General features: G+C 36.7%; 1 annotated feature.

Moving 5' to 3' along the window:
- Positions 144-319: a silencer, noted in NCBI's record as "fragment chr2:5567196-5567371 (GRCh37/hg19 assembly coordinates)". NCBI's record gives its function as "represses an EF-1alpha promoter that drives an FKBP-Casp9 reporter gene in an ReSE screen in K562 erythroleukemia cells {active_cell/tissue: K562}" and the evidence as "EXISTENCE:reporter gene assay evidence [ECO:0000049][PMID:32094911]".

Genomic DNA, 17,184 nt, shown 5'->3' on the forward strand with positions numbered 1-17,184 from the left:
CCCAGCACTTTGGGAGGCAGAGGCGGGCGGATCATGAGGTCGGGAGATCGAGACCATCCTGGCTAACACGGTGAAACCCTGCCTCTACTAAAAATACAAAAAATTAGCCGGGCGTGGTGGTGGGCACCTGTAGTCCCAGCTACTTGGGAGGCTGAGGCAGGAGAATGGCGTGAACCCGGGAGGCGGAGCCTGCAGTGAGCCGAGATCGCGCCACTGCACTCCAGCCTGGGCAACAGAGCGAGACTCCGTCTCAAAAAAAAAAAAACCAAAAAAAAAAAAAAAAAAAAGAAATTTCTACCAACATATAGAACTCTTTAGTCAAACTAGATCCCCTGTAATGACAAAACTTACAACTACTTTCACTTGCGTTGGAAGCACAATTTCCTTAATGGTAAAAAAAATGTAGCTTCTGCCACTTTCTGTATTTAAACACAATTTCCGTTATTTTCACAGGATTTAACGTAGTCAATACAGTCAGTAACTCAACATTAAAGGCCAAGTTTTGTTTCTATTTTTTAAAATGATTTCTCACGAATAAAATAATTGATAATCTCAAAAGGAACCATAAAGTCTGATGACTGCCATATTAAAATTATAAATTCTCATCCCATTATTCTAACACATTTTGCTTCTATGCAATAGAAAACAACTAATCCAAACAATCTACGTTTTGCCAGGGGTCATGTCATCCAATGTCAAGGCAAATTGGCAGCTTATATGTTAACGGAATGTGTCACATCCTGAAGCCTATAGCCATGGAAACTGAAGATGCTGCAAAGTTCAAATGTCTTCAGTTCCCAGATTCATTTCTCCATCGTCTAGAGGAACATATCTTTGAATTTCCGTGGAAAATAGTCCTGTTGTTTTGAACTGTTTCGCATAGATATCTCCTGGTGAATGGTAAAACATTGCCAAAGAACTGTGTGTATTTAGGAATAAGCTTCTAGAAAATATGAGGGTCTCATATTAATAAACTTCCTACCTGCCTCATACAAAAATTAGTGTGCAAATGTGTTCAAATAACCTTTGCGGAGCTTTCAATAAGCAAGTATTCAAACATGAGAAGGATGTTAAAATATGTTTTCTTTCATAGGAAATGCAATAACAACTGAGTTTCAGATTCTTTAGCACTGTGAAAATTCAAGTTTATTCATTTTATCTGATGTCAGAAAAACTCAAATTGAATCACTTCAGATTTACAAATAATATAAATGTGGCAGCACAATGCTACAGCTATCCTCACTCTGTGTCTATATCTGAATCTATATTTACACCTCCGTCTATAGATGTAGATAGGAATGTGGTATATATCACACTGTGTATAAGTGACAAGTACAATTGGCATTTTTAAGCGTCATGAATCATAACTAAGTCTTCGCAGTTCCTCCCATTAAGTACTAACATCACGAAGAATTTCTACATAGAATGTATAAGTTTTATTTTACAAATTATTATTATACAGTTTAAAAACATTTTTTGTGAGATATACAGCCACAAAAGTACATAAAACAAAATATATTGTTTAACAAACCATTGTAAACACCCATATAAACACTACCCACAGCAAAAGTTAGGACACTGCCAGAACCCCTGGTCCCCCTGAACATCCCTTCTTGATGTCACCTTTCCATTCATAGAGTCACTATCCTGACTTAGATGACAGTCACTTCCTTTCTTTGCTTATATTCTCATCACTCATGCCTGTGTCGCTATTCTATTTTAGTTATGCTTAATTTTGAACTTTATTTAAATGGAAGTGTACAACACTTCATTCCTTGCTTCTTTCACTAAACAATATTTTTAATTACCCATGTTTCATAGGACGTAGTCCTTGCACTTTTTATAGTGTTCCATTGTCTGAGTATTTTGCAAGGTATTTGCCCATTAGACTGATAATGGTTATTTGGATTATTTCCAGTTTTAGCTATTCATGGACATTGCTGGAAGAAGCATTATTGTACATTTATCCGGTTGTACGTATGCTTAATTGTCCATGATCAGAAATGGAATTGCCTGTTAATAATACATGATCCAAAAGTTTTTCTGAAAGCATGGTATATTACCATCACTCTATGTGCTCAGCAATACTTGCTTTTGTCAGTTGTTGTAATTTTTGTGAGTTCAGTGAATCTGTGCTATATCCTTCTGATTTTAATTTGCTTTTTCTCAATTTCTAATACCATAAAGCATTTTATCACAGGTTTTTCGAACATGTGTATACCCCTTTGAGAGGTGACTGTTAAAGTATCTGCCCATTTTTCTTCTGAATTGCTTGTCTTTTAATAATAATAATAATGACTTGTGGAAATCTCATTAGATAAGAAATGTTTTGCCAGATAAATTAGATCCAATATCTCTAGTAAATTTGTGTATTAAACAAATATTTATGTTGCTGTATGAGTCCCCTATTAACTGGGTTTCATTTATTGAAGACTGCAATTTAACACTGATTTTCAAAGCTGTTACCATCATAAATCCTGTCAGGCGTTCATGGCTCTACTTCTGGGCTATCTACTTTTGCCTGTTTGTCTATTTGTCTGTCTTCAGGTCAGCTGACACATTGTACCTATTGCTATACCTTTTTTTGTTTTTTTTTTGTTTGTTTGTTTTTTGAGATGTAGTCTCGCTCTGTAACCCAGGCTGGAATGCAGTGGCACAGTCTCGGCTCACTGCAACCTGTGCCTCTCTGGTTCAAGCTATTCTCCTGACTCAGCCTCCGGAGTAGCTGGGAATACAGAAGCCCACCACCATGTTCAGCTAATTTTTGTATTTTTAGTAGAGACAGGATTTCACCATATTGGCCAGGTTGGTCTCAAACTCCTGACCTTGTGATCCACCTGCCTCAGCCTCCCAAAGTGCTGGGATTACAGATGTGAGCCACCGCACCCGGCCCCTAGTGCTATACCTTTTTAAAAAGCTTTGATAGTGATACATCAAGATCTCCCAGCTTGTTCTTCTTTTAAAATATGAAAACTATTTTGGTTATATTAATGTTCGTAACTGAATCATATAAAAATCATATAAGAAAGTTATAGAATCATATAAAAAACTCCTTTTGGGATTTTGTTTGCTATTGCACTGAACACATGCCTTTCAGTGTGGGGAGAACTGACACCTTTATATTATACTGTTGTGTTTTCCAATAAAGCAATATAGTGTATTTCTCCATGAGTGTTCTTTAATGTCATCAACAAAGGTGGATATTTTTACACAGATGTCTTATATTTTTTGTTAAATTTGTCTCTAGTCTTATAGATTTTTGCATCTTTATTAGAAGTATTGAAGTGGTATTTTTTAACCTTTATTTTATGTGTTATTGGTGTAGAGAAATAGAGTTTTAAAAATTGATTTAGATTGATTTATTGTCACCAACTTTGGCAAACTCTCACTAATTCTTATAGTTTTTTTTTAATAGATCTTTTTGGAGACTTTCCATCAGAGCATGTACACATAATTATAGTTTTGTTTATTCTTTTCAACTTATTTCTTCTTTTCCAATTCTTATACTTATTTTTTAAAAACTTAATACACTAGATAACTTACAATTTTTAAAATCCTGTTTAGGAACTCCGTACAATACTGAAAAGAAATACATGATAGAGCCATTCTCTCGCTAAGTTAGAACCTAAGGGAAACACTTTAACATTTTGTCATTAAGTTGTTTGTTGTTGTTTTGCTGAATTTCTTTTATCAGTATAGGAAGTTATTTTCTATTCTTAATTTAAGTGCTTTCATTAAAAATCGATTTTTAATTTTCTCAAATATTATTATGCATATATTAAAATTATTGTATTATTAATCTCCTTTAATAACCATTTTTAGTTGAAATATGCTGGTTTTCTTAAGAGCAATTATTCTTGCATTCAGGTTTAAAATCAATGAGGTCATGGTTTATATCATTTGAATCTGGCTAATATTTTGTTTCAGGTGTTTTATCTCTATGAGAGAGTAGTTTATAATTTTATCTAACTTATCTAAAAGATTAGTTAATAAAGTCAAGAAAAAATTATTTATAATTCAAATTTTATTCTGTTAAATATTTAGAAAAATCTTAGCGGCTACATTATGTGGATCTAACATTTTCTTAGTGAAGTTATCTTTTGCTTCTTTTAGAAATTTAGTTCCTTAAATTAAGGATTAATCAGATTATCTATAAAAGGGAAGGACAATTTTGGTGAGTTTTATTTTTGTGTAATATTTCATCCACTTCAAGTAAATGTTCTATTGGCTTAGAGTTGCTCATAATATTACTTTATAAACTGTTTGATATCTGCTTGGTCTATAAGGACTGATCCATTTTATCCATGAAATTGATTACCTGCACCTTCTTTCTTTGACCAGTCTCACTGTCTATCAATTTATTCATTTTGAAAAAAACACCATTTGGATTTGTTGATCTTCTCTGTGTTTGTTTTTTATTGTATTGACTTCTATTATGATTATTATGATTATGACGGCTTCTCGTCCTCTGCCAGGTGGGAACACATAAATAATATTATTACTTTTTTCTTGATTTTTAAATTTATTTTTTGCTTTAGTTTTTCAGTATCTTTTTCTTTTAATTTTGTGAGATAGGTGTTTGGTTTATTAATTTGTAGGCTTCAGTATACATTTATATAAATACATTTTTTCTTTAAGTACTGCTCTATTAATATCCCAATTATTCTGATATATAGTAATTTCACTATGATTTACTTCAAAATATTTTATTTCCATCTTAATTTCTGCTTTGGTTTGTGGGTTTCGTAGATGTGTATTTCTCGATTTCCAAACACGAGGATATTTTGTAGCATTTTTTTTGTTCTTTTTTTCCACCTTACCTGCATAGTTGTCAAAAAGCATACTCTGTGTAACTTTTACCCTTTGGAATGTGTTGAGAGTTATTTTATGGACAAGAGTATGTTCAAACTTAGAAAAATGTTCCAAGTATGCTTGCAAAAAGTATATATTCTGCAACTGAGTTCAACTCTTTTCTTTCTTCATTGCTCCCTTCCTCTTATCCTCTCACTCTTTTATCCTTCCTTTCTCTTCCTTCTTTCTTTCTTTTTTATTTTCTTTCTCTTTCTTTCTCACTTCCTCTCTCTTTTTCTTCATTAGGTGAGCTTTGCTAATCTCTTTCTTTAAATTTATCTATCCTTAATGAGTTTTTATCTTCTGGCTCTTTTAATTATTGAGGGTGGTATTGCAGAATTTCCCACAATAACTGTGGGTTATTCCATTTTCTCTTATAATTGTGTAAATTTTATCTTTTCATATTTAAGGCCATAAATTGCCTGAAATCTATAAATTGTTACATCTTCCTAGTAAATTGAACCTTTTGTCATCTGAATCTTTCATTATTACCTCTTTATCTCTAGTAATGCTTTGCCTTAACGTCAATTGTTTCTGGTAATAACATAGTTACACAGATTTCGTTTGGTTGGTATTTCCTTTATATCTCTTCTATTTTGTCCTTTTTTTAACCTTATGCTTAAGATATGTTTCTCATAATTGACATACAGTTGGAATTTTTTAATTCTGCCAGTTAATTTTTGCTTTTGACTGAAGCCTTTAGTTCTTAGTTCTTTTAACTGAAACATTGCGTTCATTAGTCTATATATGTATATGTATTTATTATATGTTAGATATGGTTTATATCATGAAAGGACAAAAGTAATAAGATATTCTGAATTGAGCATTAATACAAATTAGTTTTGTATAGAATTTTCATAATATTCATTCACTATTGACTTCCTGTTTGGTTAGTCTACAAAGACAAATTGAGATGAACTGAAGAATATGGAATCTCTACTGAGAAATTGCTGTTAATATGAGTTGATTTAGGTGTGTATATCTGCTTATGAAAACCACCTCCACAGAACTGAAAATATCAGTGTTTTAACCTACTCAGGTTTTTACATTTATGAGATAATAAAGAAATAAAGTTGAATCAACATATCCAATAATGTGGAAACTAAATTATATTAAAAACAGTAAATATTTTCATCAAAACATCAACAATTAAATAGCATGGTTATAAAGAAGGCAAGAATAACTGTTTCTAGTGATGTATAGCATTGAGTAAAATTTCAAAACTGAATACAACATACATTTAAAATTATTTCTACCAAACATTTCATTGCTCTGTAGCAAAGGGGGACTGTTTTGAGAATGGGAAATAATTCAGCACAGATTTCATATCTTTATGTCAACATCACAAGTGTGCAGTTTATATATATATATATGTGTGTGTGTGTATATATGTATATATATGTGTGTGTATATATGTGTGTGTGTATATATATAGAGAGAGAGAGAGGAGGGAGAGAGAAAGAGAAAGAGAGGGAGGGAGTCTCGCTCTGTCACTCAGGCTGGAGTGCAGTGGGACAATCTTGGCTCACTGCAACCTCCGCCTACCAGGCTCAAGCAATCCTCCCACCTCGGCCTCCTGAGTAGCTGGGACCACAGGCACACCTCACCACGCCCAGCTAATCTTTTTGTATTTTTGGTATAAACGGAATTCTGCTGTGTTGCCCAGGCTGGTCTTAAACTTCTGAGCTCAGGCAGTCTACCCGTCTTGGCCTCCCAAAGTGTTGGGATTACAGGCATGAGCCACTGTGCTGGTCTCACAATTGACTATTGACAATTTTACTAAAGGCTTCCAAGTTGTTCAATGACCCAGCATTTAGAATTCATGCTTAGATTAATATCCACTCCAGCTGCAAAAATATAAAAGAAAAACAAACTCTTTTAAGTTTTGTAAAGTAAGTTCTAGAAGCTGGTAGAGATTGAGAAGTTTCACTCTTTGTGTGATCAATTTTCACATTGAAAATATATTAAGATACAGTAATAGTAATGATGTAGGTAAAGTACGCAGCATGCCCTAAAATTTTCATAAACATTGTTCGAGTCTTTATCAAAATGAATATGGCATAATCTGAGATGAACAGCAGACAAGAGAATGCCAGGTTGCCTTCTCATTTTGTTTCATGCTGGTTATGGCATTTCTTCTCTTCTTGAGGCAGCCAACCTCTATTCACAGAGTTACTTTTCTGTACTGACATCACCATGGGAGTTTTATAAACAGCTTCATTATGCCACAGGGAAGCTAAGTGGATGTGATATTGGATACTCCCCAATTGATAAATACTACAGATAACTCAATACACAACGTTCTTTTATGACCTGTTGCAGACCGGTATTTCAGGCTCTGTGTTAATGCTTCCTTCCCACCTGAAGTTTAACCAAACCACAAAAGGAAAAGAATTTTTTTGAAAAGCCCAAGATATACCCCCTTAGAAAATATAAACAAGGCTTAACATTTCAATGTCAATTTTCAATTCAATATTTTCTCATATTCTAAGTGGATGTGTTTAGTTGTATTTTCTAAATATTACACAAGATTAATACAACACATTTGTCTAAGCAGCATTCAGCTCACCCTTTTAAAGCCTCAAAAAGCATGCATATGTTTTAGGGTGAGAAATAATGGCACACAATTTTTTTTTACATAAATTACATAAATTAAACAATATTATTACAAAAGTTTTATATTTTTAACCAAGTAAGTATAGCTTAATTTAGGGGAAAGTGGTAAGATTAGGTTGACTTTATGCTGCCTTCAGCTGAATTTTTGTGGGTGTTAATCAATGTGAATTTTTATTTTGGTCAATACCTGTAAGAAGAGACCTTCTAAAGGCATATTCTCACTCAGAATTTTTGAGATGCCATTTTCAAATTTAAAAATTATACTTATTTGAAAGAGTGTGTGTGTGTGTGTGTGTGTGCGCGCGCACACGCACCCATGCACACACACGGGCCTGCCTGCACACGTGCACACTCATGTATGTTTAAATTCTCTCAATCCCCCCCAAAGAAGTTGGAAACATTTGCGATATAATACAAATGCCAGATCCACATCTAAAAATATACGTTGAATTTAAAGATAATAAATAAAAGCTCCAAGAAGAATTCAAGCCAGATTTGTTTAATTTTATGCCACATAAATATTGAAAATATAATAGCACTCTCTCCTTCCTAGTCGTGTGTAACATAATCTGGTCTAGTGTTTCAAATTCTTTCTCTAGAAGCACTAATCAGTTACCTATGCTTTGAGCCAGGCATTATAAAAAGCAACCAAAGTGCTTTGCAGACTTTTCATTATTATCACATATCTCTCATTTTGCCAAGAATATTGTAATCATTTGGATTAAATGTTTGATGATGCTGTCACTAGCAAATTTAACTCTAATGAGTTTAATAAAAACAAACAAAAATAAATAACTCCTGCGGTAGGACCTGACCCACATCTCAAACCGGGTTAACAGGACAAAGACTTCCCTCGGCTCTCAGCTCTGCTGCCTTGGGGCCAAACCTATTCTAGGCATCACTTGCTTGTAAGGCAGCTGTAGCAGTTCTAGTGTGCTGGTCCTCTCTGTGCACCTGTGGGACAACAGTTCATTTTGTAGGGAGCACAGATTCAATTCAGGTGCTGAATGCCCTTGGCCCTGATGGGCTTGATTTGCATCACATGTTTCTGTCTGAACCTTATGCTTGATTACAGAACCAAAATGGCTAATTAGCCGGTCTAGATCAAATGCTATGTCTTCACAACTTTATATTTATATTTATTGAACATAATAGAGAGGTAGTTTCCCCCAAGACACTGCAATGCAGGTATTTGAAGGGGAAATGGTTGATGCTGTAAGGCAAAAATAACAGCCACTGATTACATTTCGCCCCTTTTTGCAGCTACTTCTTCGCATCCACATGTCTATAAGAATGTCCGTGCCCTCCTGAAACATACCACTTCCTAAATTCATCAGGATAATCCACCCGGCTCAAGGTCAAGGTTAAGGATCTCTCATCCACATGCAGTTCTTTCAGTCAGACCTGATCTAGCTCCTCATGGTTGGGTGGTCTACAGACAAGTGATAAGTTAAACCATTCCCCATGCGCCCAATATGCAAAAACAGAGACAATGAGACTTGTTTTGGAGGCAGGGGAAGCAACTTCCCTTTGAAGATGCTCCCTGGTGAATGTCCCGTAACTGAAAGGACAGTGAGGTTTCTCTAGCTGGCTGTGAAGTTTCTTAATCAGTTATCCTGACTGCCCTGGTTTTATTCTTAGGAGAATCACCTTTGTCTGTGGTTCTCCAGGACCACGTGGGAGGTCACTTTGGGAGCCACTTTGAAAGAAGTAAAAAGAAACAGGTGGAGTCAATTGTAATACATTTTTAATTTTACCTACTACATCCAAAATGTTATCATTTCATCATGTAAACAATATAAAAGTTACCAATGAGCTATTCTACATTCTTATTTTTCTATTAAGTGTTTGAAATCTGGTGTGTGTTTTTCAATTACAGTATATCTCAATTTGGGCTAACTCATTTCAAGTGCTCAATAGTGACACCTGGCTAGTGAGTACCCTATTGGGCAGTACAAATATAGATAAAGAAGAGCTATAAAGAATTTTAAGAAAAAACATGTGGTAGGATTCAATTTTAGCTACATTTTCCTGGTGGCTGTGGGGAGCATGGATTTGAGCTTGGCACACATCTTACTGGATTATCGAAATGAATACAGTGATATAAGTTTGAAAATCCTTTAGCAGGTAGAGATGGGTGGCTAAAATCAGTTGATAATTTTTAACTACAACCTTTAAGAGTGGAGGGTCTCTTCCTTTGCAACATTTTCCTTTTTACTTGCTAAGATGTATTGCACCAAAAAATGTGACTTTTTTCTTAATTCCTTTGTTCTATGGCTAAGCCCGTAGTGGAAAGGACCCCAAGAATGAATCCGTGCAATGAGGAATTGAACCATCTCAGTCTAGAGCCAGCCGGCAGAGTTTGGTGTGCAGAAGCATTGCAGTGTATGGACAAGGCCACAGGCAGTAGGAGCTGCCTCCAAAGCAGATACTGAGAATGCTGCTCAGTGCTTACGGGGCAGTGGCTGGTTCAAGCCTCACCTCGCCACTTTGCCTCTACTAGTGCTGAGGAATCCTTTTGCCTTGAAGACTTTTCCATTTCAAAATTTCTTGGAGCATTCTAGGTCTAACACTTAGTAACTGTGTGACATTAGACGGGTTAGTTATTCTCTCTTATACTTAGTTTCCAAATCTGTAATACGATATAGTAATGTTGGCTATATGCCAACCTTGCAGGGGTTGTTAGGAGTAATAAATTAGGCATATAAATTTCTGAGTATGTTGCCTGGCATATAGTAGGTGCTCACTATTATTATTAGTAGTAGTATTAATAGTATTAGTAGTAGTAACAGAAAATATAAGGAATTAGAAATGTGTGTAGAATTTTTTCAGAAGATAATCTCTGACTGAAAAATAATCTATATGCAATTCAAAGCTCAACATTTATTGGGAGAGGAGAAGAAATAGAGAAGTTCAAACATGTAAATGATAGTACATAAGGCAAAAAGAATAGTAGTGAATGTTGTTTTATAGTATCAAGTCATGCATGAAAATGTCACCAAGTTAGTGACCTGGTTTTATAAAGAAATTAGAAGTCATACAAATGAAAATACAAAACATAACACGATACAGAAAATTACAAACCTAGTATTACTTCCCCTCCAACCAGATGACACCATCTTGCTTTCCCCATTCTCTGCCAGACTCCTCAGACACCCTCCCTTCCTTGTAAACATCTTTATGACATCACCACCCCATAAAAGCCTGCATGTCACTTATTTACTGATGGTAAAATAGCCCGTCACAACACAGCGTGATGTCATACGGATCAAAGAAACACACTCTGGCCCTTTCTTTAAATAGGCATGATGTTTGTGAAAAAAACATACATATCTTTCTTGTACTTGCTACTGAGAAAGCTGTTGTGAATGTTGGCATGCTGGCAGATTTTAAGAAACACCTTTCACACTCTTGCACAACATCTACTGAGGCAGACATGCATCCACGACACTGGCTGTTTGCTACAGGCACTGTGTGACTGCTTGTCAGGCTTCCAGTGAGGCGTCTGCATCCTGGCTCTAACTATAATTTTAAAAATTAAGTTAAGATGACCACTCTAAAAATATGGATGTTTTAAAACATGAAGTGATGGGAAGACTTACTTAAGCATTGTGTTGGGGCAGAAAGCCCCTGATGAGGGCTTCTGGTCTTCCTGCCAGGTGGGAACACATCAGCAGACTCTTAGAGAAATGCCCCCAGTCCTGTCTCCCTGAGTATAGTTATAAATATTAAATATTAAGGCGCTGTATGGTCAGGAATGGATGACTTGAGTAATAGAATTGTGCTCTCTCTCTTTCTCTCTCTCTCCTTGTCTCTCTCACTCCCTGTCCTCTTTTTTAACACTGCCTGCAATAACTTCTTCCTTCTTCCCCAATGAGATCTGAAGGTAACAGATGTAAAGTCTTACACATTCTCGTTACAATGTCTCAACGCGGCATGTCATCGCACTGCGGCATAAAAGCCAGCCACGCAGTGTGACACGTGGTGTCCCCACGGGTAGTACTGTTTCCGTGGTTCCCTCTCTCTGAATGTAGGGGATCTGTGAATTAGGTGCACAGGCTGAAAGGGCTTCCAAAACAAATGGGAAGTTTCATCATTTTAGTGAAAATGGTTTGCTTTGAGTCCATCCTGCAGTCCCGTAGATACACATTGGTTGATTCTTTCCTTGGGATTTTTCTAAGCCAGTACTCTGGAGTTTGCATGAACAGCAGGCAAGACAATACACAACATTAAACATCAGTGTTTCAAAGATAGGAATATTGAAAAACACTCTCATTTTTAAGGAGAATTTTCTGAGGTGCATAATGACCTAAATTCTAGTATAAAAATACATAAGATCGGCCGGGCATGGTGGCTCACGCCTGTAATCCCAGCACTTTGGGAGGCCAAGGTGGGCGGATCACGAGGTCAAGAGATCGAGACCATCCTGGCTAACACAGTGAAACCCCATCGCTACTAAAAATACACAAAATTATCAGGGCATGGTGGTGGGAACCTGTAGTCCCAGCTACTCGGGAGGCTGAGGCAGGAAAATGGCATGGACCCAGGAGGCAGAGCTTGCAGTGAGCCGAGATCACCCCACTGCACTCCAGCCTGGGCGACAGAGCAAGACTCCATCTCAAAAAAAAAAAAAAAAAAAAAACACATAAGATTTTCACATTTACTTACCATGACTTTTAAGATAAGGAGCATAAACAGCATAGACACAAAAAAATGTGTGTCTACTACGGAAATACATTGCATAAGATGAATCTAATTAACCTATATCTGGATTCACAGTAGAAAGATCAGGTGCTTTGGAATGAGAAAAACGACATAAGACTTTTGGCAATTTACTTAAACTCTCTTGGTCTCTGCATCTGTAAAATGGAGTTATTATGTTCAATCTTCCAAGACTGTGGAAATGAGTGATGGATAAGAAGATAGATCTAGGCTTCCTAAGGTGCGGTGTAGTACACACAGCTTTAATAGAGCTGATGATTGGCGTGGCATACAGATGAACTTTCTCAATTTTACACATGTAGCTAGTGGTGCATGCATTTCTACACCTCACGTTCATGACAAGTGGTACTGGGTTCCCCATTTTGTTTCAGTGTGATAAGATTACTTTTTGCATTTGCTCATGTAAATGAGAAAAAGTGAGTCTATCACATGACAGTACGGAGGTGCACAGATAAAGCAAACACCCATGTGTGGCCATGTGTATTGCACTGAAATTTGATAAATATGGATACTTGTGATACACATAACTCAGGCCCTAATGCCAGGCATATGGCAACTGGCTTTATCATTATTATAATTGTTACTGAGGAAATACTCACAGTCTGCCTTTAATGGTTGACATGCTGCAAGGTTCATCCCTCTCACAACTGCCATGTGAGGACAGGGCTGAGAGCCACGCTGCTGTCTGCCCCAGTCCAGGGGTCCCATGAGTAGCCAGCAGCCTCCTGCTCTCAAATCCTTTCTGTCCTAGGTCACAATTTCTCCCTGAGATCAGAGAAGACACACAGTTTGAAAGAGAATTTACTGTGCCAATGAAGCAGAGTATTTGTCATACTGTGGAGGAAGGAAGGAGGTTAGGAAGAGTATGCCACAATGTTAAACCTTGAGCTGTTGACAGACTGGGCTTCAAAATCCTAGTTTGGATTGTTTCTTTCATTTTGTACCTGTGAGGCGAGATTTTACATCCCTAAGCCTCAATTTTCTTTTCTGCAGTCTCAGGCTGAAGGCACTCATCTTATGCGGTTATTACAAGAATTAAATGAAAAGGTGCACATAGGGTGCTTAAAATGTGGTAGAGTCAGCTCAATACATGATGATTAAAATCAGGCTGTTTAACATCTTAATGGGTAACTCTCATTGACAATTCAAATATATGAACCAAACTGTAAATCACAGCTCCAAAAAGGAGTGACTGTCTGAGTGTAGACTTGGCCTCTGGTGGCACATGGCTTAGCTTGATTGCATGTGCATGCATGATATGCACATACTATGTGAGTGCACAACACATGGACATAATAGCTGTATACAGTGCACATACCAAGTATGTAGACTTCATGTGTATGCATGATATGCATAGGCAGTCAATGCATGCACACCCGCCTGATGTCTTTCAAGACCTGGTAAATCACCTTGCTGAAGAAGCCCTCATATTGCACATCAGGACCCAAGATGTGGAAAAGCCAAGTGATTTCCCAGGGTGCTATTACTAGCTGACGTTTGACTATAGTCTAATTTCATCTAAATACTTCCACTGTTCTGGCCTCAAGCTTGCAGAATATTATAGTCTGCAAGTTAAAAAAATGTTAGTTACAGATTTATTAAACTCATGAAGTCCATTTTTTTGCAGCTGTTCATCCATAAATACTTTTTTTTTAAGCTTAGAGTGCCAGAGAAAAAGAGTTCAGAGACCACACTGGAGAGCTGGACAGCCTCAGATCAAAGATGACTTTGTAAGCTATATGAAGGGATTTGGCTTCATCTCGAGGACTGGAGAAGCCTCTGAAAGGTTTTATATAAGGGGTAATGTAATGAACTTTGTGTTTTGAGAGGGCCCACCTGGTTGGAGAGAGAAGGCTTGATTAGAATGGAGCAAGACTGAGGCAGAGGGCTAGTTAGGAGCTGCTTTCTATATTCCAGATGACCGGTGATGGTGAATTAGGGAAGTGCCGTAGAGAAGGAGAGAACCAGACAGATCAGAAATACCTTTGCAAACAGAATCAACAGGGCCTGGTGGTTAAGTCAATGTGGGATTAGAGATGGCGGGAGGATGCCTCTACCAGGTTTAAGCATCCCGACAGCACTGATGTACCGAATCCTCTCAAAAATCCACCAAGGTGGGCAACATGGCCCCCATTTTTAGTGGGTGGTTAGGATTCCATTTAGGTGTAGAAGAGCCATTCTGTGGCTCCAGCTTAAATAAATCTAGATGTAGAAACACTTTATACTTGTTCCATTTCATTCAGTTTAATTCATGTCAACATTAATGCACAACAGAGAGAGAAATCCTGAGATGAGAAGACATCACTTATTTTTCACGGAGTTAATGATCTGATACAGACAACGTCACACTTGCGACTCTCAGAAGCTTAATGTCTTAGAGCAGCCATAAACAGTTTCTCCAAACATTCTTCAACTGTCTGTAAAAGCAATTTCAGATCTACATGTGACAATATGCTTCTAGAAACTGGTATGAAATCATGATAATAATAAGAAAATTTAAGAAAATTCCTCAAAATATAAAGCTAGAGTCTAAATTTTCTCTATTCTTTTTATTCACAAATACACATGCAAAATACATATGAAGTTTTTACCTCTGCATTTTCAAAAATAACCCACCATGCTGTGTACGTTAAGAAACTGCAACATAGATATCTCTGTGAGTTCCAAGTCCTAAAACAATTACTTCTTCATTTCCTTTAGGTGACCTAAATTAATTAACTAGCACTTAAAATGTAAGTGGAGCTATCAACAAGCCAATAACTAAACAAATGATCAAGTGAATGCCAAGTAAGCTTAACTGACAGAAAAAAAAAGCCCTTATAAGTAGAAACAACTTTAGCAATTTTTATGTACTTTGTATTATGAAATAAATTCATATTTACTCACCAAGACCCACCATTTTCCTTAATAAACCCCAATATGAGGAGCTGGGGTAGATGTGTATTTGCAGGTTTTACCAATCTCATTTTGTTATATTGTACTTTTGAGCCTAAATAGGTCTTGCTTGTACTCCAAACCCACTTACATGGTACCAAAGTCAACTTAATGGTTCATTGTATTGTACTGACACTCCAGTGTCATTGCTAAGCACCTGTTTTAATTCAAAAGAAGAAGGGATCCTGTATTACACTCACCGTTCTGAAGAGTGGAATGACATTCAGCAACTATTGAAATAAATCAAAATATCATTTTCACTGTACTTCAACAATACAATGCATTACTGATCTTCTGTCGGTGTTATATACATAATAGCGCATCCTTATAGTTAGCCACAGAGCGATCGCTCTTCAGAGTCACACTTCACACTGCCATGCACTTTTAGCCTCAAACATAAATACCTTACTTTAAATATGATATCATTCAAGTACTTCATTTGAATGTAGAGAAATTGGATAAATAGGAGTGAAGGACATCACTAGGACAACTTCATACTTTTCCAAATGGGCGTTCACTTTATCCTTTTTTTTTTTTTTTTTTTTTTTTTTTTGGTTGAGAAGGAGTCTCACTCTGTTGTCGAGGCTGGAGTGCAGTGGCGCGATCTCAGCTCACTGCAAGCTCCGCCTCCCGGATTCACGCCATTCTCCTGCCTCAGCCTCCCAAGTAACTGGGAGTGCAGGTGCCCGCCACCATGCCCAGCTATTTTTTTTTTAATTTTTAGTAGTGACGGGGTTTCACTGTGTTAGACAGGATGGTCTCGATCTCCTGACCTCATGATCCACCCGCCTCGGCCTCCCAAAGTAATGGAATTACAGGCGTGAGCCATCTCGCCCGGCCTACTTTATCCTTTTTATGTTGACTTTGTCAACAAATGCGCTCCTGCCATTAGGCCCCAGGCTATACAACCTAGGCAAACCTACCCATCCTGTTTGGAAATATCTCAGTTCCCTGATATTGTTGGCGTGGTTTTGTTTCAGTAATGATGAAAGTCCCTTAACCCTCAGCTAGTTCTGCCAGGAGGAAGATAGTTGTAATCACAACCAAACATGAAAAACCCCATGGTAGAATTCCTTAGCAGGCTTCATTACCTTCTGTCTTATTTTGACTTAAAACTTAAGGAGATGCACTTTTTCAGCTTGCAATACTTTTGCCCTGGCCTTTTCAGGCTTATGGTTGGCATTGGAAAATCAGGCGTCTTTTGTCAGAGAGACCGAATTCTTACAGGAATTCTTAGAGTCTGTGTTAGGTTACATGCTTATTTACTATGCTCACTTTTCATCATCATATTTTCTTTCTGCCTTTTTTGTTTGGTTCAAAGTAAAATTATCATGACTTACTCACTATTCGATACCCTTAAAGTCTATATTAAGAACAAGAAGATAACGTCTGGAAATCATCTGAACACCTCTAAAGAAAATTACTGTCTGAATTGTCCTTAATACTATTTTCAGGAGTACTTCCTGGAATGAAAAGTGATCTTTCTGAACATAATCTTTATGGATTTTCATAACAATCCTTTAATAAAAGAGATTTTTTTCTTGCATCCAATCAATATCTGCACATACTAGCAAATCCAAATACAGTTTATACTGCTTTTCTCCCTAACTTCAGTGTCATAATTGTTAACTTATATCAACATTTAAAGTCCAGAAAATAACAGAGATCTTATTATGCTTAATGACTCAGAAGTCAAGACAACTCTAAAGGACCAATAAAATCTGTTTGGATGATATAGGCAGGTAGGGAGACAGAGAGACTAGAGGGATGGATAATTAGATAGGTAGACTGATGGATTGATTGATTGATGGGGATAGAGTAGGGATGGTGGTATACATGTGGATGAGGGTGAGCAGTACAATAGAGATATAGAGACAGTGTACGTAAGTTAACTGAAACACAGAAGAGAGCCTATTGAAGCCTTCATAAGACATTAATACCTAGACAGAAATAGGTCTCGAGTTTTTAAAATTATTACAAGATAATAAAAATAGATGGAAAAACTAAATTCTAGTGTGTAGGGAAGCACAATTGGGTGATAAAACTGTAAAGAAAAGTAAG

This window comes from Homo sapiens, chromosome 2 (genome assembly GCF_000001405.40).
Source record: "Homo sapiens chromosome 2, GRCh38.p14 Primary Assembly".
Taxonomy (NCBI): Eukaryota; Metazoa; Chordata; class Mammalia; order Primates; family Hominidae; genus Homo; species Homo sapiens.